Below are 26,240 nucleotides of genomic sequence, written 5' to 3'. Positions count from 1 at the left end.
GGGATTACAGGCGCCCACCACCACACCTGGCTAATGTTTGCATTTTTAGTATAGATAGGGGTTTTGCCACGTTGGCTGGGCTAGTCTCCAACTCCTGACCTCCAGTGATCCACCCGCCTCGGCCTCCCAAAGTGCTGAGATTACAGGCGTGAGCCACCGCGCCCGGCCAAGGAATCTTACTTTTCATTTAAAATTAATCTTATTTGGCCAGGCACGGTGGCTCACACCTGTAATCCCAGCACTTTGGGAGGCCGAGGTGGGCGGATCACCTGAGGTCAGGAGTTCGAGACCAGCCCCGCCAACATGGCGAAACCCCATCTCTATGAAAAATACAAAAATTAGCTGGGCATGGTGACATGTGCCTATAATCCCAGCTACTCAGGAGGCTGAGGCAGGAGAATCACTTGAACCCAGAGGCAGAGGTTGCAGTAAGCTGAGATTGCACCATTGCACTCCAGCCTGGGCAACAAGAGTGAAACTCTGTCTCAGGAAAAAAAAAAAAGTAAGATTCCCCTCTCCAGGGATAAACATCATCAATCATTTTTTGTATTACTGGAAATAGTCTAAGAATTAAACTACTTGGAAATATAAATGGATGTATTTCAGGGGCCTGTTCTTCAACATTAATGTATATTAAAGGAGGTTGGAATGCAGTGGAGAAAATGAATCATCAAAAGGGTATAGCCTGAGCATGGGTGGCTCATTCTTATAATTCCAACACTTTGGAAGGCTGAGGCAGGAAGATTGCCAGAAGTTCGAGACCACCCTGGGAAACATAGCAAGACCCTGATTCTACTTAAAAAAACATGGGGGAATAGACAAGATGACCAATACTACTAATGACCCTGAGATTATTTGCTAACAGGCAAATCTATATAATGTTTACAAATGACAAATCTGAGCAGGGTGCAGTGACTCATGCCTGTTATCAGCACTGTGGGAGGCTGAGGAGGGTGGATCACCTGAGGTCAGGAGTTGGAGACCAACCTGGCCAACATGATGAAACCCGTCTCTACTAAAAATATAAATCAGTGGGGCATGGTGGCAGGCGCCTGTAATCCCATGTAATCCCAGCTACTCAAGAGGCTGAGGTAGGAGAACTGCTTGAACCTGGGAGACAGGGGTTGTAGTGAGCCGAGATCACGCCATTGCACTCCAGCCTGGGTGACAAGAGCGAAACTCCATCTCAATAAAAACAAACAAACAAAACACCGGCTGGGCACGGTGGCTCATGCGTATAATCCCAGCACTTTGGGAGGCCGAGGTGGGTGGATAACCTGAGGTAGGGAGTTCGAGACCAGCCGGACCAATGTGGAGAAACCCCGTCTCTACTAAAAAGACAAAATTAGCTGGGAGTGGTGGCGGGCGCTTGTAATCCCAGCTACTCGGGAGGCTGAGGCAGGAGAATCGCTTGAACCTGAGAGGCGGAGGTGCAGTGAGCCGAGATCACGCCATTGCACTCCAGCCTGGGCAACAAGAGAGAAATTCCGTATAAAAAAAAAAAACCCAACCAACAAATCTGGCCAGGCACAGTGGATCACAGGATCCCGTCTGTAATCTTAGCACTTTGGGAGGCCAAGGTGGGCAGATCACTTGAGCCCAGGAGTTCTATACCAGCCTGTGTAACATGGTGAATGAATCCTGTCTCTATAGAAAAATAAATTTAAGAAATCTACAGAAAAAAAGGCCGGGCATGGTGGCTCATGCCTGTAATCCCAGCACTTTGGGTGGTCGAGGAGGGCGGATCACGAGGTCAGGAGATGGAGACCATCCTAGCTAATATGGTGAAATCCGGTCTCTACTAAAAATACAAAAAAATTAGCCGGGCGTGGTGGCGGGTGCCTGTAGTCCCAGCTACTCAGGAGGCTGAGGCAGAAGAATGGTGTGAACCCGGGAGGTGGAGCTTGCAGTGAGCTGAGATAGTGCCACTGCACTCCAGCCTGGGCGACAGAGCGAGACTCCGTCTCAAAAAAAAAAAAAAAAAAAAAAAAGATATCTACAGAAAAAAAACAATTAGCCAGGCATGGTGGCATGCACCTGTAGTCCCAACTATCAGGGATGCTGAGGTGAAAGGATTGCTCGAGTCCAGGAAGTTGAGGCTGTAGTGAGCCATGAGTGTGCCTCCAGCCTGAGTAACAGAACAAGACCCTGTCTCAAAAAACAAAAAGGCCGGTCACAGTGGCTTACGCCTATAATCCCAGCACTTTGGGAGGCAGAGGCGGGGAGAACACTTTGAGGTGAGGAGTTCGAGACCAGCCTGGACAACATGGTGAAACCCTGTATCTACTAAAAATACAAAAATTAGCCAGGCGTGGTGGCACGCCTGTAATCCCAGCTACTCGAGAGGCTGACGCAGAAGAATGGCTTGAATCCAGGAGACAGAGGTTGCAGAGAGCCAAGATCGCGCCACTGCACTCCAGCTTGGACAACAGAGCGAAACTATTTCAAAACAAAAACAAACAAACAAAAAAAGGTTGGCCAGGCGAGGTGGCTCATGCCTGTAATCCCAGCACTTTGGGAGGCTGAGGTGGGTGGATCACGAGGTCAGGAGATCAAGACCATCCTGGCTAACATGGTGAAACACCGTCTCTACTAAAAATACAAAAAATTAGCTGGGCGTGGTGGCGGGTGCCTGTAGTCCCAGCTACTCAGAAGGCTGAGACCGGAGAATCACTTGAATCCAGGAGGTGGAGATTGCCATGAGCTGAGATCGCACCACTGCACTCCAGCCTGGGCGACAGAGGGAGACTCCATCTCAAAAAAAAAAAAAAAAAGAAAAAGAAAAAAAATGGCTGGGTGCGATGGCTCATACCTGTAATCCCAACACTTTGGGAGGCAGAGGTGGATGAATCACGAGATCAGGAGTTCAAGACCAGCCTGGCCAAGACAGTGAAACCCTGTCTCTACTAAAAATACAAAAAATTAGCCAGGCATGCTGGTTGGCGCATGTAATCCCAGCTACCCGGGAAGCTGAGGCAGAGAATTTCTTCAACCCGGGAAGCAGAAGTTGCAGTGAGCCGAGATTGCAGCACTGCACTCCAGCCTGGGTGACAGAGCAAGACAGCATCTCACAAAAAAAAAAAAAAAAAAAAAAAAGAAATACAAGCCAGGTGTGGTAGCTCATGCCTGTAATCCTAGCACTTTTGGGAGTCCAAGGCAGGAGGATCGTTGAGGGCAGAAGTTCAAGACAAACCTGGGTAACACAGCAAGATTCGATGTCAACAAAAAACAAAAAAGTTAGCTGGGCATGGTGGAGTGCACTTGTATTCCCAGCTACTTGGGAGCTGAGGTGGGAGGATGGCTTGAGCCCAGGAGTTCAAAGCTGCACTGAACTGCAAAGAACTATGATCACGCCACTGCACTCCAGCCTGGGTGACAGAACAAGACCCTTATCTGAAAAAAGCTTTGAAGACTGATTATCTTTTGATGGAAAATAAAAAAAATTTAACTTTTCCTTTGTATACCTTTATTTCCAAATGTTCTACAGTGTGTATTGCCTTTGAAATAAACATTCCAACAGTTTCAATACAAAAAACCATCTCATGTCATGATAAATTAAGTGATAAGGCTGTAGATCCATACATATCATTTGATCATTTAGAAATTATATATATTTATATATTATATATATTTATATATATAATATATAAATATATATAATTATATATATAATTTATATATATATAGAAATTCTCTCTCTATATATATATATAGAAATTTCCATGTCCATATAAATGTTTATATGGATATGGAAAAGTCTAGACTGATAAATACCAAACTGTGGTCACACAGAAAAGAGGCATGACTTTTGCATTATAATTTACTACATCCTTTTATTTTTCCCCTTCTGAGAATGTATTAATTTTGTGATTTAAAGTTCTAAACTAATGAGGCACAGCACTGTGGCTCACGCCTGTAATCCCAGCACTTTGGGAGGCCAAGGCAGACGGATCACTTGAGGTCAGGAGTTTGAGACCAGCCTGACCAACAAGGTGAAATCCCGTCCCTACTAAAAATACAACAATTTGGCCAGGTGCAGTGGCTCATGCCTATAACCAGCACTTTGAGAGGCCGAGGCAGGTGGATCATCTGAGGTCGGGAGTTCAAGACCAGCCTGGCCAACATGGTGAAATCCCATCTCTACTAAAAAAATACGAAAACTAGCCAGGTGTGATAGGACATGCCTGTAATCTCAGCTACTCTGGAGGCTGAGGCACAAGAATTGCTCAAACCCAGGAGGCGGAGGATGCAGTGAGCCGAGATCGTGCCACTGCACTCCAGCATGGGCGACAGAGTGAGATTCTGTCTCCAAAAAAAAATACCATATTAAAAAATTTTTTTTAACATAAAAATACAAAAATTAGCCAGGCATGGTGGTGGGTGCCTGTAGTTCCAGCTATTCAGGAGGCTGATGCAGGAGAATCACTTGAATTTGGGAGGCAGAGGTTGCAGTGAGCCAAGATCAAGTCACTGCATTCCACCTGGGTGATAGAGCAAGACTGTCTCAGAAAAAGCAAACAAAAAACGAAAATAAAGTTCTAAAACAATGAGAATAAACAGAACAAAATGTACTTTATATCACTTTTTAAGTTGCCATGTCAAAAATTTTAAGGAATTTTGGAAGTCGGAAATTAGGAAATTTCTCAGTGGCTAAGAGATCTGGCCTTATCAATCTATAAAGTAAGCAAAATGTGTTCTGCCAAAAAAAAAGTGTTCTACATACGCAATCTCTTCTTTCTAATATCAAGCAGTTTTTCCTCTAAATCCCAAGATTCCTGTTATTAAAAATAAAAAAGTTAAAGCACATTACTGTATGTAAGGACAAACCTGTAATACTTAAATCACTGAGTTTATCTACTAGCCTTAGTTATCTAAAGTTCCAGTTTTCAATTCCTCTATTTCCAGACAGCAAAAGGAAGACAGTAACTTAAATTATAAGTAGATAATGTTCAACATTAGTCAGAAATAATAGAATTTTGAAAAAAAGAGAGAACTCAAGGACAGCGAATTCCAATCATAGCATTCCCTTTGGACAATCTATTTAATCATATACAATACAGTTACCAGCAAGAAGTTGAGAGTAAAATCATGAGAATGCATAATCAGCCTAATGTGTAAGTTTACCTGCTGTGATTTCATTATTAATTTATTTAGCTCTAATAGGTGTTTCATGTTATCCATGAGCACACTGAAAAGGAAACAAAAAGATGATTTATTAAGGTTATTTGTAACTTAATTAAAAATAATAGCTGTCATTAATGAAGGAATCAATGAGTGAAAACTTACTTTCATTAAATCCACCGTACACTTGGATAAAAAGTCAGTTTAACAAAATAAATCTGGAAAAGTTTGATGTAAACTAAATTTCTGTTAAAACTAGATATGCATTTCCCTAGAAAAATGTTTGGTCACAGACATTGAAGAATACCAAATTTAAAAATGTGGGAACATTTCTAAAAATTTCATATTTAGAGAGGAAACACCCTAATAACTTCCTAACAAGCTGCTTTTGTTTTGAATTTATTTTTTAGAGCAATTTTAGTTTTTATTTTGAATGTATTTTTTAGAGCAATTTTAACAAGCTGCTTTTGTTTTGAATGTATTTTTTAGAGCAATTTTAGTTTCACAGCAAAACCGAGTGGAAGGTACAGAGATTTCTCATATACACCCTACCCCTGACACATGCATAGCCTCTCCCATTATCAACATCCCCTACACCAAAGTGGCACATTTGTTACAATCAACAAACCTATATCGACACATCATTGTTACCCAAAGTCCGGATTTTACATCAAGGTTCACTCTTGCTTGTGTATAGCCTACGGGTTTGTTTTCTGTGACAGGGTCTCGCTCTGCCACCCAGGCTGGAGTGCACTGGCACAATCACAGCTTCCTGCAACCTCACCTCCTGGGCTCAAGCGATCATCCTGCCTCAGCCTCAGAAGCAGCTGGGATTATAGGCATACACTACCATGTCCCACTAATTTTTACATTTTTTGTAGAGACGGGGTCTCCCTATGTTGCCCAGACTGGTCTGGAACTCCAGGGTTGAAGCAATCCTCCCTCTTCAGCCTCCCAAAATGGTAGGATTATAGACATGAGCTACTGAGGCCCCACCCATTCTTTGGGTTTTGACATATGTATAATTACATGCATCCACCATTATTGCAGCATACAGAATAGTTTCAAGGAACAAACTGCTTTTTTACTTCTTTAACAAATATTTTTGAGTACTTACTACATGCTTTCAAGAACTATGCCAGGTGCCAGGAATGTAAAATAAAATAAAACACAGTATCTGTTTTCAAAGAGGAAAGAATCTAGTGGAGAAAAATAAATCCACAATCATACTATAGCGCAGTAACAAATATGAACCAGAGTTATGCACAGGGTGGAATAAGGATATGAAGTAATTGCCTAGATCAAGTAGTTTGGTATGGCTGGAGCAAAACAGTATGGAATAAGACTGCGCAGAGCAGTGGCTCTCATACTTCAGAGTGCCACAGTCATCTGGGAGGTTCGTTAAGTAAGGATTCCTAGTTCCTGACCTTCAGATATGCTGATTCGGGGCCTGGTTCAGTGGCTCATGCCTGTAATCCCAGCACTTTTGGAGGCTGAGGCAGGAGGATTGCTTGAGCTCAGGAGTTTTGAGACCTGGGCAATATAGCAAGACCACATCTCTATTTAAAAAAAAAAAAAAGGTCAGGTACAGTGGATCCCTTGAAGTCAGAAGCTCGAGACTAGCCTGGCCAACATGGCAAAACCCCATCTCTACTAAAAATACAAAAATTAGCCAGGTGTGATGGTGTGTGTCTGTAATCCCAGCTACTCAGGAGGCCGAGGCAGGAGAATCGCTTGAACCTGGAGGCAGAGGTTGCAGTGAGCCAAGCAGATCGTGCCACTGCACTCCAGCCTGGGTGACAGAGCAAGATTCCGTCTCAAAAAAAAAAAAAAAAAAAAAAAAAAAAAAAAAAGATACGCTGATTCAGAAAGTTTGGGATAGGACCAACAATGTGATCACTATAATAGACATTATTCTGATAATCAGCCAGGTGTGAAAAACACTGTAGAAGCAACTAACTGAGAAGGTCAAAAGGGGAATATGCACAAACCTGGGAGAGCTGAACTCATTTTTCTACTATTTACAGCTATATTTGGTTGTCTTAAAAGATAAATTTAGGCATATTAAAATCTAACAAGTTTATTTGAGAAGACAATTCATGCATCTGGCAGCACAGGATTATAAGCTGTTAAGTGCTCTACTGTGGGAGTTGAGTGAGGAAGCTTTTATAAGGTGTTCATAGAAGACAAAATGTAATTGGTTGGTTAAAGTGGATCATCTCTAGTTAGAAGTTAGTTGGCAGTTTCTCATTGGGTAAGCTTAAGTTCCATTTTACTGTTTACATCAGGCTTACATAGGAATCCCAAGGTGATGGAGCTCAAGGCTAAAGATGGTTCTGCCTAATGGCATTCCAGTTGCATCCCAATTAATTTTTTTTAACAGTTATAAACTTTAAAATGTGCTAATAAAACACTGCCTCAGCCTATTTGACCTTTCTGTTTTTTTTTTTTTTTTTTTTTGAGACAGAGTCTCACTCTGTTGCCCAGGCTGGAGTGTAGTGGCACAATCTCAGCTCACTGCAACCTTCGCCTCCTGGGTTCAAGCGATTTTCCTGCCTCAGCCTCCCGAGTAGCTGGGATTACAGGTACCTGCCACCACGCCCGGCTAATTTTTGCATTTTTAGTAGAGATAGGGTTTTACCATGTTGGCCAGGCTGGTCTTGAACTTCTGATCTCAGACGATCCGCCTGCCTCGGCCTCCCAAAGTGCTGGGATTACAGGCGTGAGCCACCGCACCGGCCTGACCCTTCTGTTTTTTGGTGTCAACAGTGAAACTGGCCCAATTGTCCCACAGAACTGATGTTTATGATTTCTTTTGAATAAACATAGAAACTGACCCTCCCAGTCTTAAAGCTTGAGAAAGTTACAACTGTCTTACCTGAGTTCCCTTCTCAGGAAACCATCAGGACTCCCAGATAGTATCAAGGAACTGAAACTTATAAGATCACACCCTCTAGACAATAAGACATCAGACCCCTCACCCATCATGATTGCCTAACCTGCTTCCTATTGACTAACTCCTCTTCCTTACCCCTCCCTAATTCCTGTCTTCCCATACATGGGTACATATCTTCCCTGCTATATAAACCCTTAATTTGGCAGGGTGTGGTGGTTCACACCTGTAATCTCAGCACTTTGGAAGGCCAACGCAGGTGGATCCCTTTGAGCTCAGCAGTTCGCGACCAGCCTGGGCAACATGGCAAAACCCCATCTCTACAAAAAATACAAAAATTAGCCAGGCACGGTGGTGGGCACCTGTAGTCCCAGCTACCTGGGAGGCTGAGGTGGATCACTTGAACCTGGGAGGTGAAGGTGGTAGTGAGCTAGGATCACGCCACTGCACTCCAGCCTGAGCAACAGAGTGAGGCCCTGTCTCAAAAAAACAAAACAAAACAAAACACCTCCTTAATTTTAGTCCATCTAGGAGATGAGACTGATCTCCCCTCTCTTTGGCTACAGTACTCAAAGCCTTCTTCCTGACAACACTCATGTCAGTGATTACATTTCTGTGCAGCAAGCAACAGGACCTAGACCAAAGCCCTGACATTTCAGTAACAATGTGATGAATCTGTCCTGCTCTCCTGCACCCCACACCTTTAACTCAAGAATGTCTTTTTTTTTTTTGTTTTTGAGATGGGGTCTTACTATTGCCCAGGCTAAGGTGCTGTGGCAAGATCACAGCTTACTGCAGCCCCATGACCTCCTAGAATCAAGGCAGGAGGCTGATCCTCTCCCCTCAGCCTCTGGAGTAGCAAGGACTACTGGTGGCTCCACCATGCCTGGCTAATTTTTAAAAATTTTTTGTAGAGATGAGGCCTCCCTATGTTGCCCAGGCTGATCTCAAATGCCTGGGCTCAAGCTATCCTCCTGCCTCAGGCTCCCAAAGTGCTGGGATTACAGGCATGAGCCTCTGTACCCAAGCTAAACTCTCCTTTTATGGGAGAGAAAAAGTTATGAGTGTTCAAATTCAGATTTTTGGATTTATGTAATCCTGGATTTAGCTGGAATATGGGAAAATGTGTAGCAGTGTGGGCTAAGATACTCAAGATAGAAGTGCCTAGGTCAGACCAGCCTGGCCAACATAGTGAAACCCCGTCTCTACTAAAAATACAAAAATTACCTGGGAGTTGTAGCAGGTGCCTGTAATCCCAGCTATTCAGGAGGCTGAGGCACGAGAATTGCTTGAACCGCAGAGATGGAGGTTGGAGTGAGCTGCACTCCAGTCTGAGTGACAGAGCAAGATTCCGTCTCCAAAAAAAAAAAGTGCTTATACCCATGCAGGAATTTTTCTGGTGCTCAAGGGAAGGGGATATTTTATCACAAGAACTTTGGGAGATAAGATCATAGGTAAGAGGCCGGGTGCGGTGGCTCACACCTGTAATCCCAGGACTTTGGGAGGCCGAGGCGGGTGGATCACGAGGTCAGGAGATCGAGACCATCCTGGCTAACACAGTGAAAGCCCGTCTCTACTAAAAATACAAAAAATTAGCTAGGCGTGGTGGTGGGCGCCTGTAGTCCCAGCTGCTCGGGAGGCTGAGGCAGGAGAATGGCGTGAACCCGGGAGGCAGAGGTTGCAGTGAGCCGAGATCGTGCCACTGCACTCCGGCCTGGGCGACAGAGCAAGACTGTCTCAAAAAAAAAAAAAAAAAAAAAAAAAAAGATCATAGGTAAGACCTCTGAGGCCAGACACCAGGATACAGAGGACCTGACCTGCTAGTCTTTTTTTTTTTTGCTCATAATAATTTTTATTTTTTAAAAAATTTTATTATTATTATACTTTAAGTTTTAAGGTACATGTGCACAACGTGCAGGTTTGTTACATATGTATACATGTGCCATGTTGGTGTGCTGCACCCATTAACTCGTCATTTAGCATTAGGTATATCTCCTAATGCTATCCCTCCCCACTCCCCCAACCCCACAACAGTCCCCAGTGTGTGATGTTCCCCTTCCTGTGTCCATGTTTTCTCATTGTTCAATTCCCACCTATGAGTGAGAACATGCGGTGTTTGGTTTTTTGTCCTTGTGACAGTTTGCTGAGACCTGCTAGTCTTTATATTATATCCCTTGGAAAATTGTTGGATCCGAATAAGCTCATTTCTACCAATAAAAAATGAGGAGTATATTTCCTATCTCACTGTGTTTTGGATGGATTAAATGAGATAGCCCTGTTCCTGATTTATAGTAAATACTGAAGAAAATGAACTTTTAAAGCTTTCCCTTAAAATTTTCCAATCTTCTGGATAAACTCTTCTGCTTCTTACAGTTACAATCCATACGGAACAAAATATAATTAGAACTATAAAAGTTGCTGTAATTCTGGGGAGGACCTACAAAAATTTCATCACTTTCCTTATTCCCCAGACAAAGGTAGTTGGCAGTAATAATTTTTTAAAATTCACAAAACTAAAGTCACTATGCAGATCCCATCCTTACCGAATCCAGAGAAAAAAAAAATCATACCTAGACTGTCTGCTAATTTTCTCCAGGTTTTTTTTAAGTGCAGTTGAAAGTCTCATCCTATGAGAGGGAAAAAGCTTGCATTATAAAACATGGATAACATTTGTGGTACATTAAAAAAATTCAAAACATGAAAAAGATTGATTTCCCTTCAAATATACATAAAACAGAAGTAGGTTTTAAAATATTATTATAAGAGAAATACTTTGAGAAATAAAACACAAAAATATGAAATAACACCAAGATGGATAGGGCTGTTGCGTGTGGGTATACACTGCCAGAATGAGGGGCCAGGTGAATCTGAAACCTGGCCTGAGCTGAATGAGTTCTCTGAACCATCTACTTTTGTGCAAAGCCACTGGAAGGATTAAGGCACTACAAAGATCAGGATGGGCCTGAAATGAAGGACTTAGGGAATACAAAACCATATATGACTATAAACTTTAAAACTTTTTTTTTGTTTTTTGAGAGGGAATCTTGCTCTGTCACCCACAATGGAGTGCACAGTGGCGTCATCTCGGCTCACTGCAACCTCTGCCTCCTGGGTTTAAGTGATTCTCCTGCCTCAGCCTCCCTAGTAGCTGGGATTACAGGCACACACCACCACACCTGGCTAATTTTTGTATTTTTAGTAGAGACAGGGTTTTGCATTGTTGGTCAGGCTGGTCTTGAACTCCTGACCTCAGGTGATCCACCCACCTTGGCCTCCCGAAGTGCTGGGATTACAGGCGCGAGCCACCGCGCCCAGCCAGGTTAGGTGTATTAAATGCATTTTTCACTTACCATATTTTCAACTTACAATGGGTTTATCAGGACCTAAACCCACTGCAAATTGAGGAGCATCTGTAATGCAAATTTTCTCTCAGGGCTCAAAATCTGTGTGACCAGGCTGGGCTTGTGTAATCCCAGCATTTTGGGGAGGCTGAGGTGAGAAGATCGCCTGAGCCTAGGAGTTCAAGACCAGCCTGGGCACAGTGAGACCCCATCTCCATAAAAAATAAAAAAAATTAGCCAAGCGTGGTTTTGCATGCCTGTAGTCCCAGCTGCTCCAGAGGCTGAGGCAGGAGGATTGCTTGAGCTTGGGAGGTTGAGGCTACAGTGAGCAGTGATCATGTCGCTGTACTCCAGCGTGGGCAAGAGTGAGACCTTGTCAAATTAAAAAATTATAACAATAATAAAATAAAAATTTTGTGTGACCATTATCTAATCATCACTGTGCTTGACTAATTCACTCAGCCCAGTTAAAAGATTCCCTCCACTTTCCCCTCATACCCATTTTGCAGTCAGTTCACAATGCTTATATTTAAAATGTAATAATTACCTGTCTAATGCAAGCTTTTTTATCTCAAAAGCAACTTTTACCTCTTCAATTTCATTTTCCAGGTCTTCAATTTTACTATCAAAGAAACATGAGCAAAAGAATTTCAGCAATATCAGAAAAAGACATTATTGAAATAAATGTATAAAATAAGCCCTTAAAAAAGTAAAACACCTCTATCTAAATACAAGTATTCTACAGGCTCAATATACCAATGTGTATTTACACATTTGGTAAACTAATGCCCCTCAGCTACTTCACTTAGTATCTTATAAAAAGGGAGGCCAGAAAGTTCTAATGTGATCACTTGTGTACATATAAATCTCCATCCCAAATTAACAACTTCCCAATATATGCATCACAAGTTATTTGGAAAAATAAAGGAAAGGAAAAATAAAAACAATGCTATAGCATAGAAAAATGAGATTATGACCAGGCTCAGTGGCTCTTGCCTACAATCCCAGAACTTTAGGAGGCCAAGGTGGAGGATTACTTGAGGCCAGGAGTTTGAGAACAGCCTGGGCAACAAAATGAGGCCCCATCTCTACAAAATATATATATATTTTTGAGGCGGAGTTTCGCTCATTGCCCAGGTTGGAGTGCAATGGCGCAATCTTGGCTCACCGCAACCTCCGCCTCCCGGGTTCAAGCAATTCTCCTGCCTCAGCCTCCCGAGTAGCTGGGATTACAGGCATGTGCCATCACGCCCGGCTAATTTTGTATTTTCAGTAGAGATGGGGTTTCTCCATGTTGGTCAGGCTGGTTTCGAACTCCCGACCTCGGGTGATCCACCCACCTTGGCTTCTCAAAGTGCTGGGATTACAGGCATGAGTCACCGTGCCTGGCCCTAAAATATTTAAAAAAAAAAAAAAAAAAGAAAGAAAGTCAGGTGTGGTACAATGAGCCTGTAGTTCCAGCTACTCAGGAGGCTGAGGCCAGTGGATCCCTTGAGCCCAGGAGGTTGTGGCTTCAATGAACTATGATCACACCACTGCACTCTAGCCTGCATGATAGTGAGACTCCATCTAACAACAAAATAATAGAAAATATGATTAAATCTTAGTAAAGACCATAAACAAAATTTTTAAATATAACATACGCTTCGATTTGCTTTTCTTGCATAATTTGTTCTGGAGTTTTTTCTTCACCTGCAAATAAATAATTTTTTGAAGTTACTAACATTTTAGAGAGGTGCTGTCCAAAAGGAATATAATGTAAGCCACAAGGGCAAAAGACATCATTTAAAATGTCGTTTTCACATTACAGAAAAGAAACAGTGAAATTTAATTTTAATATACTTATTTAACCCAATAGATCAAAAATATTATTTCAATGTGCAGTCAGTTTAACATTACTAATGACATATTTCACATTATTCTGTCTGTATTTTACATTTACAGCCCATCTCAATGATGATTAACCTTTTGAGACCAGCCTGGGCAACATAGTGAAACTGTCTCTACTGAAAATTAGCCAGGCACAATAGTGCATGCCTGTAGTCCCAGCTACTCGGGAGGCTGAGGTGGGAGGATCGCTTGAGCCCACGAGGTTGGGGTTGCAGTGAGCCAAAATCTTGCTACTGCACTCCAGCCTGGGTGGCTGAGTGAGATCATCTCAAAAAAAAAAACATCAACCAACAAAGACAATGTGGCACTTGTGTAGGGATCAACAAATACCTCAATGGTACAGAAAAAAGCCTAGAACTTCCTGTGATGATGGAAATGTTTCCTATCTATGCTATCCCATAGGATAGCCACTGGCCACATGTGGCAACTGAGCATTTGATATGTACTTGATTTTAAATTTTATTTCATTTTAATTAGCTTTAAAAAGCCACGTGTGGCCAGGGGTGTGATGGCTCATGCCTGTAATCCCAGTACTTTGGGAGGCCGAGGCAGGTGGATCACCTGAGGTCAGGAGTTAAGAGACCAGCCTGGCCAACATGGTGAAACCCGTCTCTACTAAAAATACAAAAATTAGCCGGCCATGGTGGCAGGTGCCTGTAATCCTGGCTACTTGAGAGGCTGAGGCAGTGAATCCGGGAGGCGGAGGTTGCAGTGAGCTAAGATTGCGCCGCTGCACTCTAGCCTGGGCGACAGAACAAGACCCCGTCTCAAAAAAAAAAAAAAAACAGAAAAAACAAAAAAAGAAAATGTTCTGTATCTTTTTTTGGGGGAGACAGGGTCTCCTGTCACTGTCACCCAGGCTGTAGTGTAGTGGTGTGATCTCGGCTCACTGCAGCCTTGATATCCCAGGCTTAAGTAATCCTCCCACCTCAGCTGGGTGGGACTACAGGCACATGGTACCACATCTGGCCAATTGTTTTTTTTAGAGGTGGGGGTCTCGCTATGTTTCCCAGGCTGGTTGCCCTGGGCTCAAGCAATCCTCTCGCCTTGGCCCCTCAAAGTGCTGGGATTACAGATTGATCCACCATGCTCAGCCGAAAATGTTCTGTATCTTGATTGTGGTAGTGATTATACAGATTTAGAAATTTGTCAAAACTCATCAAATTGTACCCTTAAAATAGATGCCTTTATTGTAAAAAACAATCCTTTAACCAATAAAGTCTCAGTCACATATATATACATATACATATATATACATATATACACATACACACACATATATATACATATATATACATATACGTATATGTGTGTGTGTATATATATATATATTTTGTTTGTTTTTGTTTTTGAGACGGAGTTTTGCTCTTGTTGCCCAGGCCAGAGTGCAATGGCGTGATCTCGCGTCACTGCAACCTCCACCTCCCAGGTTCAAGCGATTCTCCTGCCTCAGCCTCCCCGAGTAGCTGAGCTTATAGGCATGCACCACCACGCCCAGCTAATTTTGTATTTTTAGTAGAGACGGGGTTTCTCTACGTTGGTCAGGCTGGTCTCGAACTCCTGACCTCAGGTGATCCGCCCACCTCGGCCTCCCAAAGTGCCGGGATTACAGGTGTGAGCTACCAAGCCCAGCCATATATATATTTTTTAAATGGTAAAAGAATCAATACTTATTTCTCTGTTGATTGCCTGACAGTCTCACTCTGTTGCCCAGTGGAGTGGAGTACAGTACAATCACTCAATCACTTGAGCCCAGGAGTTGGATGTTGTAGTGAGTCCCAGCTGGGACTATAGGTATGTATCACCATATCTGGCTACGTTTTTTTTATTTTTGTAGGGACGAGGTCTCACTTTGTTTCCCAGGCTAATCTCAAACTCTTAGCTTCAAGTGATCTTCTTGTCTTGGCCTCTAAAAGAGCAGATAGTCAATTTTAGATAAACATCTTCTTTCAAAGGCTACAACTAAACTTCCTGTGGCCTGCCTTACATCTGTCGTCTCCTAGGTATAGAAATTCTACAGTGTTAACTAAATCTAGTTTTTGGATGTCACAATCCCTTAAAAATGGTACTAGCTATATAGAGAACAAAAAGACTATTGGAACGTAAACTTTCTTCTCATTTGGATCTGAGCTCTAAAATCATCTTCTTAGAGAAGCCATCCCTATGAAAAGAAGCCCCTCCCTCTTATCATGCCTTTGTTTCCTTCAGCACACTTAGCATACTTCATAAATATCTTGCATGTTTACCAGTTTTGCCACACTATAACATATATAAACAATTTTTGGTAAAGTTAATTTTATTTTCACTCGAGTACTGTTAATCATCAAACTCACAAAATCTTATTTGAGGCCAGGTGTGGTGGCAAAACCCTGTGTCTACAAAAAAAATACAGAAAATTAGACGGGCGCAGTAGCATGTGCCTGTGGTCCCAGTTACTTGGGAGGCTGAGGTGGGAGGATTGCTGGAGCCCAGGAGGCTGAGGCTGCAGTAAACCAGAGACTGCGCCACTACATTACAGCCTGGGTGATAGCAAGACCCTGTCTCAAAAAAACAAACAAACAAACAACAAAACCCTAATTTGAAAATGAAAATACTTACTTGCATCAACCATTGATTTATATTCTAAGAGTTGTTGTTTTGTCTGTGCTCTCAGCCTGAAAACAGATAAAGAGAATATAAAGTCACATATTTATTGATTAAGGTTTTACTCATTACCACATGACGAACCAACTCATTCTTTTTCGGAAGCTGATACAACAAAATAAATATAAATAATTAAACTCCTAATTACAAACTTCTAATTTGGCCTCATTTTATTTAAAATGGGTATAAAGAACTTTAAGGCCTCAGAGGAAGACACAAAATGGAATACACTGGGAAAACAGCATCTGTCAGGAAAAGTTAAAAAATTGGTGTTTAAGATTTTTTTCTTTTTTTGAGACGGAGTCTTGCACTCTTGCCCAGGCTGGAGTGCAGTGGCGCAATCTCGGCTCACCACAAGCTCCGCCTCCCGGGTTCACGCCATTCTCCTGCCTCAGGCTCCCAAGCAGCTGGGACTACAGGCGCCTGCCACCATGCCCGGCTAATTTTTTGTATTTTTAGTAGAGATGGGGTTTCACCGTGTTAGCCAGGATGGTCTTGATCTCCTGACCTCGTGATCCACCCGCCTCGGCCTCCCAAAGTGCTGGGATTACAGGCGTGAGCCACCGCACCCGGCCGCTTAAGATTATTTTTAATAGGCCAGACTGAACTGAGGATGCTATACAAAGAATAGACCAAAATGATTAAACCCCAAACCACTGTATTTACAAACACAGATTTTTATCAGGAGATACAGAAAAATAACAAAGATACTAATCCTTGGATTACTAATTCATATAGTTTTTCAGTTGTTCTATAAATCCAAAAATCATACATAAGTAGAAAAACTATGAGCAAATGGTAATTTAAGATGACAGCAAGGGTGAGGAGGAAAAAACAATAAAAAAGAAATAGACATCTTTTCATTTTTCAAAACATTTAAGAAAGAAAAAAATGGTAATTAATTTTTTTTTTTTGAGTCAAGAGTCTTGCTCTATTGCCCAGGCTGGAGTGCAATGGCACAATCTTCTGCTCACTGCAACCTCTGCCTCCCGGGTTCAATCAATTCTCTTGCCTCAGCCTCCTGAGTAGCTGGGATTACAGGCGCCCGCCACCACGCCCAGCTAATTTTTGTATTTTTAGTAGAGACGGGGTTTCACCATGTTGGCCATGGTTGGCCAGGCTGGTCTTGAACTCCTGACTTAAGGTGATCCGTCTGCCTCGGCATCCCAAAGTGTTGGGATTACAGGCGTGAGCCACCGCGCTCAGCCAATAATGATTTTTTTAAAACTACCTCTGTTATGATATAGAACAGAGGACCGCAAATTTTTTTCTGTAAAGGACCTGATAGTAAATTTTTTAGGGTTTGTGAGTCACACGGTCTCTGTTTTAGCTACTCAATTCCACCCTTGTGGCAGGAAAGTTGTACTCCAATAAAACTGTTTATGGAAACTGAAACTTGAATTTCTAATAGAGTTCACGTGTTATGAAATATTTTTATGATCTTTTCCCTGCAACACTTAAACATAAAAACTATTCTTAGCTTGAGTGGTCACACAAAAATAGGCAGTTAGGCAGATTTGGCCCAGGACCTTCTCCTGCTCACTAGTTTAGAAGACGAATGTCCCTTCTCATCGAATCTTCCCCAGCAACCGCTTAGTGGAAAAGTATAAACACCGTCCGCTTAGTAGAATTTATAACATATAAAGCTTCTGGGTTACAAAGGGTCGTAGTTCTAAAAGAAATGGTAGGGGCACCTTCCTTCCAGTTTAGCTCTGGCATTCAATTTGTCTGTAAACCAGAGAGGTAGGGGGAGGGCGGGGAAACAGGAGGAGAAATTACAGCTTCTAAGGGCCCGGGGCACTGTGCTCAACACTTTCCTAGACTATCTCATTTAACCCTTGTAACCTCTCTCCAGGGGGTCATTTTTCTCTCCTTTTCGCTGATGAAGAAAGAGCTTCAACAGTTTAAGTGAATGAGGCAATCACGGAGACCTGACGTGACCGAGCGTGAATTCGAACCCTAGCCCTTCTGAGCAAGGGCGGAGTTCCGGGCCACAACGCCCACTTGGCCCCGGCTGAGGAGGCCAAAGGGAACAACCTGAGGAGCAGGGTCATGCGGTCCTCGCTGCACGCCGCCTGGGCGCCGGCGACCTGCGGTGGCCCGCCTGCCCGGCCTTCCCCTCCGGAGTCCGCGGGCTCGTCGGCGTCTTGCATCTGGGGCTGCTCCTCCATTGCTGGTTGAGGGGAAAGGCTACCACTCAACAGGCAAACGCGCTCAGAAAAGGTCGCTTTTCCCGCCACTAAATGGACGCCGGGAAAAGGCCCGAGGGCCCCGCCCCTTCCGCCCAGGGCCCCACCCTTTCCGCCTTGTTTTTCGGTTGCCGTGGTTACTACGGGCTCCTCTTTCATCCGGGCTCTACTGGTGAAAATAACTGCAGACGGCTGGTAAAAAGTTGGAATAGCTTTCGTTAAGCGTCGGATGTGTAGAGTGCTGAGTTAGGGGCTGGACTAGAGACGTTGGGACATCTCCCGGGAACAGCAGCCTGGAGGGGAAAAATCTCCTGACCTAAGTGGTCATTCGGCCTTGGCGCTTGGACACGGGAGTGCGGCGACAGCCATATGTCCATCCATCTTGGCACTTTTCCGTCCTCTGCCTTTGAAGATGGGTGTGCCCGGCAGGCTGTGAAAGATAAACATTAGAGGGTTGTTTAGAAGACTTTTTTGACCTGAGCCCATGAGGTGCATACCCTTTGTTTGGCGGAGAAACCAGTGGCTTCTGAAGATCAGGGACGGGCCACAAGTGCGAGGCATTGCAGACATTTCGAACCCAGACTTCCAGCCTGGAGACATCCACACGCTTCCAGTTTCTTGCACTGGTACTTCATTCTGTCATTATGATTGCCACCACTCGTAACTGAGAGTTGCGTGCCCTCAAGTTTTGAGTGTCTGCAGGGTACCTTTGAGCTTTCTTAGCTGTGTAGTGAGTGGGGGGAATGGAGAAAATGAAGGACAGATGACTGATTTGTAGTTTTTCATTTGGACACTGTCCTTGCCGCACAAGCACAGCAGCTTGAACCTCTTTGAACAAGAGTCGAGAGTTCTTTTACAGCTAATTACCCACTAGTTAAACTTGATCATACTGTGCTGTTTTCTTCCTCTCCATTGTCAATGTAATACGGCTCCTGACAAAAGTTAAATTCGCTGGGCGTGGTGGCTCACCCCTGTACTCCCAGCACTTTGGGGGCTGAGGCGGGTGGATCACCTGAAGTCAGGAATTCAAGACCAGCCTGGCCAACATGGTGAAACCCCGTCTCTACTAAAAATACAAAAGTTAGCTGCGTGTGGTGGCGGGCGCCTGTAATCCCAGCTACTCAGGAGGCTGAGGCAGGAGAATCGTTTGAACCCGGGGGGGCGGAGGTTGCAGTGAGCTGAGATCGCGCCACTGCACTTCAGCCTGGGTGACAGAGTGAAACTCCGTCTCAAAAAAAAAAAAAAAAGCCGGGCGCTGTGGCTCACACCTATAATCCCAGCACTTTGGGAAGCCGAGGGGGGAGGATCTCGAGGTCAGGAGTTGGAGACCAGCCTGACCAACATGGAGAAACCTCGTCTCTACTAAAAATACAAAATTAGCCAGGCGTGGTGGTGGGCACCTGTAATCCCAGCTACTGGGGAGGCCGAGGCAGGAGAATCCTTTGATCCCGGGAAGCAGAGGTTGCAGTGAGCCGAGATCACACCAGAGATGCACGCCAGCCTGGGCAACAGAGCAAGATTCCTTCTCGAAAAACAAACAAACAAACAAAAAAACAGTTCAAAAGACACAGAATGGACTGGTGGCGATGGCCCACGCCTGTAATCCCAGCACTTTGGGAAGCCAAAGCGGAAGGATCGCTTGAAGTCAGGAGAACAGCCTGGGCAGCATAGTGAGACCTCGTTTCTACTTAAAACAAAAACAAACAAACAAACAAAAAAACAACAGGTGTGGTGACTTAGACCTGTGGTCCCAGCTACTCAGGAGGCTGAGATGGGAGGATCACTTGGGCCCCAGCCGTTGAGGACTGCAGTGACCTATGATCGCACCACTGCTCTCCATCCTGGGTGACAGAGTGAGACCCTGTCTCAAAAAAAAAAAAAAGCACAGGATGTAAAATCAGGCATTAGGTTTGCTATTCCTACATGTAAACTTATGGAACATTTTCTTGTTTCCTTTCATTTTGTTTTACAAAAAGGATGATCCCATTGTTAACTTTTTCTCTTTACCACTTAGTGGATGCCTTCCACTGTCTCACCACAATCTTATCCTTTTAAGCAGTTGCCTATCAGGTGTCTCCACTGCTCACATTTGGGACAAAAATAATGCAATGTGCAGTCGCTCACGCCTGTAATCCCACCACTTTGGGAGGCCAAAGTGAGCAGATCACCTGAGGTCAGTAGTTTGAGACCAGCCTGGCCAACATGGTAAAACCCCATCTCTACTAAAAATACAAAAAAGACTGTCTCAAAATTTTTTTTTATAAAAATAATAATGCAATGGTTATCCAACCGTGAGAATTCGGAGGAGACCTTGTTAAAACACATTTCTGGGTGTCTCTAGGATTGTTTTGCATTTGTAACAAGTTCCCAGGTAAAGTTGCTCTTGCTTATTGAGGAGGACACTTTGAGAACCACCACCATAAAGGGTCATAAAACGCAATTAAAAAAAAAATTCACAGTAAAACAAAAAAGGGTGGGTGTAAGGCCCTGCATGGTGGCTGATGCCTATAATCCTAGCACTTTGGGAAGGCGAGGCAGGCAGATCACTTGAGGCCAGGAGTTTGAGGCCAGCATGGCCAACATCGCGAAACCCCATCTCTACTAAAAATACAAAAATTAATCAGGCACAGGGGCACACGCTTGTAATCCCAGCTACTCGGGAGGCTGAGACAGGAAAATCGCTTGAACCAGGGAGGCTGAGGTTGCAGTGAGCCAAGATAGCACCACTGCATTCCAGCCTGGGTGACAGAGTGAGACCCTGTCTCGGGGGGTGGGGGGAAAGGGTGGGTGTGGGTAGGGAGCTATCCATTAAAAAGTCAATAATAAAGATAGAAGAGATGATAGAATTAGAAAACTACCATCTTACCACTCCCAGGGAGATAAATGTCAGGAAAGTATAATTAATGAGTGCTAAAACTAGAGACCAGCACTTCAGAGGAATGTTATAGCTAGTGGTTACCACCTTAACCAGATGGTCAAAATTGGTATCAAAAATGGTATAACAATCTGATGTCTGATTCTAATATAATGCATGAGTTGTACACATCACCTATATTGCCAAATGTGTAACCTGAACTTAACTGTGCTGAAAACATGAGACAAGAAATCCAGACTGAGGAACATTCTACAAGACAATTCATGTCTATGTCCTGAAACACAGAAAACAGGGCAGTTGTTCTATATAGAAAAACAAACCATGATTGAATCTTGGATTGGAAAAGGAAAAAAAATAAAAGCCCTAATACATTTTTGGAACAACTGAGGAAATTTGAATATGTTCTGCATATTAGATATTAAGTTACCAATTTTCTTAGTGTGATAGGATTGTGGCAGGGTTTTTTTTTTTTTTTTGATTTTTAGAGTCATGGTCTCACTCAGGTTGAACCACAGGCCACCATGCCTGGCTAATTTTTGTAGAGACAGTGTCTTGCGCTGTTGCCCAGGCTGGTCTTAAACTCCTGGCCTCAATTGATCCTCCTACCCTGGCCTCCCAAAACACTGGGATTACACCGCTGGTGTGGTGGCTCATGCCAGTAATCCCAGCACTTTGGGAGGCTGAGGCAAGAGGATCTGTGGAGCCCAGGAGTTCGAGACCAGCCTGGCCAAGATTTAAAACAAAAACAATCATGGGATTACAGATGTGAGCCACTGTGCTAGCAGAAAGATGCCTTTTTAACATGCCACATCTTCAGTAACATTAAAAATCACCAGGCACACTTGGTTTATCAACCAAGGAAAGCACATACCTTTCCTTCTTTTCTTTACTTTCCTTCCTTTCCTTACTGTTCTGAGGCTTTTTAATAAAATTTCACTCCTGCTCTGAAACTTGCCTGGGTTTCTTCTTCTGCCTTATGCCCCTCAGTCAAATCCTTTCTTCTGAGGAGGCAAGAATTGAAAATTCTTAAAAAAACACCCAACATCAAGCTGACAAAAAATAAATAAATAAAATCTCAAAAGATATTGACTGGCCAGGTGCGGTGACTCACACCTTTAATCCCAGCACTTTAGGAGGCCGCGGTGGGCAGATCACGAGGTCAGGAGTTCGAGACCAGCCTGACCAACATGGTGAAACCGCATCTCTACTAAAAATACAAAAATTAGCCAGGCGTAGTGGCATGCGCCTGTAATCCCAGCTACTCAGGAGGCTGAGGCGGGAGAATCACTTGAATCTGGGAGGTGGAGGTTGCAGTGAGCCAAGATTGCGCCACTGCACTCCAGCCTGGGTGACAGAGACACCATCTCAAAAAAAAAAAAAAAAAAAAAAAAGAAAAGAAAAGAAAAAGAAAAAGATATTGACTGGCCAGGTGCGGTGGCTCATGCCTGTAATCCCAACAGTTTGGGAGGCCGAGGCTGGCAGATCACTTGAGGTCAGGAGTTCGAGACCAGCCTGGCCAACATGGTGAAACCCCCTCTCTACTAAAAATACGAAAATCAGCTGGGCATGGTGGTGAACACCTGTAATCCCAGCTACTCGGGAGGCTGAGGCAGGAGAATTGCTTGAACCAGGGAGGCAGAGGTTGCAATGAGTCGAAATTGTGCCAGTGCACTACAGCCTGGGCAACAGAGGGAGACTGTCTCAAACAAACAAACAAAAGTACACTCCACAGGGTGGTAGCAGGCCAAGCATAGGGTCCCAAGAGCCAGGTTACAGAATTTTCTGGGGTTTAAATACCCTCTAGAGGTTTCCCATTGGCCACTTGGTATACACCCCATGCAAATAAAGTAGTGTCCCACAATTAGTATGATTGGTTGTAGAAAGCAGCCAATCAGAAGTACTTTCCACTTTCCATCTGCCACACAGGAAAAGGGGGGTGGGGGTTTGCAAAGGGAGTACCCTCAGGTCCATTTGTTACTTAAGTGTGGAAAGTTGGGGTTTTCCTTTTGATTTAGTTCTAGGAAGTCAGCGTGAATCTGCCTTAGGTTCCCTGCCTCCAGACCCTATTCTATTGCCTCACTTTCATGACTAAAATATAGAAAATATTTAAACTAGAAAATAAAGGAGATGGTGGGAATAATGTAAAAGCTACAACCACAAAATAAAAATGGTAGAAATGGTAACACCAAAAACTAGTTCTTTCAAAAGGCCAATGAAATAATCTCATGGGCAAGTCTGATTAGAAAACAAAAGTACTCAACATCAGGACTGAGAAAGAAGATATAACTGTACATTCAGAAGAGATTAATTTTGTCATGGTCCTCTACAACTATAACTTTAAAAATCTAGAATGGATGATTTTTTTTTCTTTTTTTTTTTTGTAAGAGGCAGGGTCTTGCTGTGTCACCCAGCTTGGAGTGCAGTAGCATGAACATAGCTCACTATAGCCTCAAACTCCTGGGCTCTAGTGATCCTCCTGCCTCAGCATTCTAAGTAGCTAGGTCTACAGGCACATACCACCATGACTGCCGGGCTAATTTTTTAAATTATATATATATTTTTTCTAATAGAGACAGGGTCTCACCATGTTGCCCAGGCTGGTCTCAAATTCCTGGGCTCAAGCAATCCTCCTGACTAGGCCTCCTAAAGTGCTAAGATTCGATTTTTTATATTTTTTTAGAGACAGGGTCTCACTATGTTGCCCAGGTCAGTCTTGAACTCCTGGCCTCAAGCAATCCTCCTGCCTCAGCATCCCAAAGTGCTGGTATTATAGGCATGAGCCACCAAACATGGACATAATTTTCTATTGTTGCAGGGTGGGGGCGGGGGCCAGGGGAACATCTCTAAAAGAGCGATTATATCATACAGAGAGAAAAATTTTTAGAGACCAAAAAAGCATGGAATATCTACCATTTTATTTTTTGAGACAGGGTCTCACTCCCACACCCAGGCTGGAGTGCAGTTGCGTGATCTTGGCTCACTGTAGTCTTGACTTCCCTGGCTCAGGGATTCTCCCACCTCAGCCTCCTGGGTAGCTGGAATCACAGGTGCACTCCAGTACGCCTGGCTAATTTTTGTATAGATGAGATTTCGCTATGTTGCCCAGGCTGGTCTTGAGCTCCTGGTCTCAAGCAGTACACCCGCCTCAGGCTTGAAAAGTGCTGGGATTACAGGTGTGAGCTACTGTGACTGGCCTATTATATTTAATAGCTCCAGGACAAAGGACTTTACTGTTTAATTTAGCTAGTTTCCAACGAATGAATGGGAACTTCAAATGATTTAAGGCTTTAAAAAGATGAAACTGGCCGGGTGTGGTGGCTCACGCCTGAAGTCCCAACACTTTGGGAGGCCCGATCACCTGAGGTCGGGAGTTCGAGACCAGCCTGATCAACATGAAGACACCCTGTCTCTAATAAAAATACAAAATTAACGGGCATGGTGGTGCATGCCTGTAATCCCATCTACTCGGGAGGCTGAGGCAGGAGAATCCCTTGAACCCAGGAGGCAGGGGTTGCAGTGAGCCGAGATTGTGCCATTGCACTCCAGCCTGGGCAACAAGAGTGAAACTCCGTCTCAAAAAAAAAAAAAAAAAGAAAGGAAGAAACCGGCCAGGCGCAGTGGCTCACACCTGTAATCCCTGCACTTTGGGAGGCCAAGGCAGGCAGAACATGAGGTCAGGAGATAGAGACCATCCTGGCCGACATGGTGAAACCCTGTCTCTACTAAAATAAAAATTAAAAAAATTAGCCAGGCGTGGTGGCATGCGCCTGTAGTCCCAGCTACTCGGGAGGCTGAGGCACGAGAATCACTTGAACCCGGGAGGCAGTGAGCCAAGATCGTGCCACTGCATTCCCGCCTGGCGACAGAGCAAGATTCTGTCTCAAAAAAAAAAAAAAAAAAAAGATGAAACCCTCTCTAATCTACCTTAAGGCTAGTAAAATAAAACATGAGACAACAGTAGCAACAAAAATCAAGCAAATTTTCCATGAGCTGCAAAAAAAAAAATTTTTTTTTTTCGAGATGGAGACTCCCTCTGTCGCCCAGGCTGGAGTGCAGTGGCACAATCTCAGCTCACTACAAGCTCCGCCTCCTGGGTTCATGCCATTCTCCTGCCTCAGCCTCCCGAGTAGCTGGGACCACAGGTGCCCACCACCATGCCCGGCTAATTTTTTTGTATTTTTAGTAGAGACGGGGTTTCACAGTGTTAGCCAGGATGGTCTCTATCTCCTGACCTCGTGATCTGCCCCTCTCAGCCTCCTAAAGTGCTGGGATTACAGGCGTGAGCCACCACGCCTGGCCCGAGCTGCAAAAATTTGTAAGTGAAGTATTAGCAAATTAAATGTATATACCATAAGCAAGAATTCATTCCACCATAGTGAGATATGAAGCCGACTGGGCTTCTCTGTCTAGCTAATCAGGTAAAGGACTTGGAGAACTTTTCTGTCTAGCTAAAGGATTGTAAACACACCAATGAGCACTCTGTGTCTAACTAAAGATTTGTAAATGCACCAATCAGCACTGTGTAAAAACGCACCAATCAGTGCTCTGTGTCTAGCTAAAGGTTTGTAAACGCACCAATCAGCACTCTGTAAAAATGGACCAATCAGCACTCTGTAAAATGGACCAATCAGCAGGAAGTGGGCAGGGCGAAATAAGGGAATAAAAGCTGGCCACCTGTGCCAGCAGGGGCATGGGTTCTATTCTATGCTGTGGAATGTTTGTTGTTTTGCTCTTTGCAGTAAATCCTGCTGCTGCTCACTCTTTGGGTCTGCACTGCCTTTATGAGCTGTAACACTCACCGGAAGGTCTGCAGCTTCACTCCTGAAGCCAGCGAGACCATGAACCCACCGGGAGAAGAGAACAGTGCTGTCTTTATGAGCTGTAACACTGTAACACTCACTGCAAAGGTCGAAGGTCTGCGGCTTCACTCCTGAAGTCAGCGAGAACATGAACCCACCAGAAGGAAGAAACTCCGGATACACCTGAACATCAGAAAGAATAAACTCCGGACACACCATCTTTAAAAACTGTAACACTCACCGCGAGGGTCCGTGGCTTCATTCTTGAAGTCAACGAGACCAAGAACCCACCGGAAGGAACAAATTTCGGACACAATAGGAAATCTCTAAGGTGGAATACTATATCAAAAGAGAGAAGCCAAAATGATATCATACGCTGAAAATGTTAATGGAATTCCACAACCTTGCCTATTAAAAACTCCACAGTTTGAGCACAGCATGGAATCAAAATTTAAAAAATAAACATGACATAGTATTTTTATCATTTGA

At 43.8% G+C, this 26,240-nt stretch overlaps 1 protein-coding gene and 1 long non-coding RNA gene across 2 annotated transcripts in view, besides 4 other annotated features; one reads left to right on the top strand and one right to left on the bottom strand.

Annotated features, from left to right (window-relative positions):
• The window catches only part of CENPH (centromere protein H), a 20,775-nt gene extending 2,664 nt beyond the window's left edge, over positions 1–18,111 (bottom strand). Inside the window, exons 1-7 of the mRNA NM_022909.4 lie at positions 17,926–18,111; positions 15,844–15,899; positions 12,999–13,047; positions 11,903–11,977; positions 10,585–10,641; positions 5,125–5,188; positions 4,724–4,775 (exon numbers count right to left, since the gene is read on the bottom strand). Coding sequence (NP_075060.1) covers positions 4,724–4,775; positions 5,125–5,188; positions 10,585–10,641; positions 11,903–11,977; positions 12,999–13,047; positions 15,844–15,899; positions 17,926–18,059 — 487 coding nt within the window. The 5' untranslated portion in view covers positions 18,060–18,111. The remainder of the gene's footprint in view (positions 1–4,723; positions 4,776–5,124; positions 5,189–10,584; positions 10,642–11,902; positions 11,978–12,998; positions 13,048–15,843; positions 15,900–17,925) is intronic.
• Positions 18,038–18,332: an enhancer, noted in NCBI's record as "tiled region #51; HepG2 Activating DNase unmatched - State 1:Tss, and K562 Activating DNase unmatched - State 1:Tss". NCBI's record gives its function as "activates a minimal TATA promoter and a strong SV40 promoter by Sharpr-MPRA in HepG2 and K562 cells {active_cell/tissue: HepG2 | K562}" and the evidence as "EXISTENCE:reporter gene assay evidence [ECO:0000049][PMID:27701403]".
• Positions 18,038–18,499: a biological region, named in NCBI's record as "Sharpr-MPRA regulatory region 51".
• Positions 18,060–18,179: a silencer, noted in NCBI's record as "silent region_16077". NCBI's record gives its function as "represses an Ori minimal core promoter by ATAC-STARR-seq in GM12878 lymphoblastoid cells {active_cell/tissue: GM12878}" and the evidence as "EXISTENCE:reporter gene assay evidence [ECO:0000049][PMID:35858748]".
• Positions 18,217–26,240, top strand: LOC112267932 (uncharacterized). Its single transcript, XR_002956215.2, has 2 exons — positions 18,217–18,703; positions 25,692–26,240. It is a non-coding gene; the product is annotated as an uncharacterized LOC112267932 (long non-coding RNA).
• Positions 18,260–18,499: an enhancer, noted in NCBI's record as "active region_22640". NCBI's record gives its function as "activates an Ori minimal core promoter by ATAC-STARR-seq in GM12878 lymphoblastoid cells {active_cell/tissue: GM12878}" and the evidence as "EXISTENCE:reporter gene assay evidence [ECO:0000049][PMID:35858748]".

The sequence above is a fragment of the Homo sapiens genome, chromosome 5 (assembly GCF_000001405.40).
Source record: "Homo sapiens chromosome 5, GRCh38.p14 Primary Assembly".
NCBI lineage: Eukaryota > Metazoa > Chordata > Mammalia > Primates > Hominidae > Homo > Homo sapiens.
The sequence above is the reverse complement of the archived record's forward strand: the minus strand, read 5'-3'. Positions and strand labels throughout refer to the sequence as shown.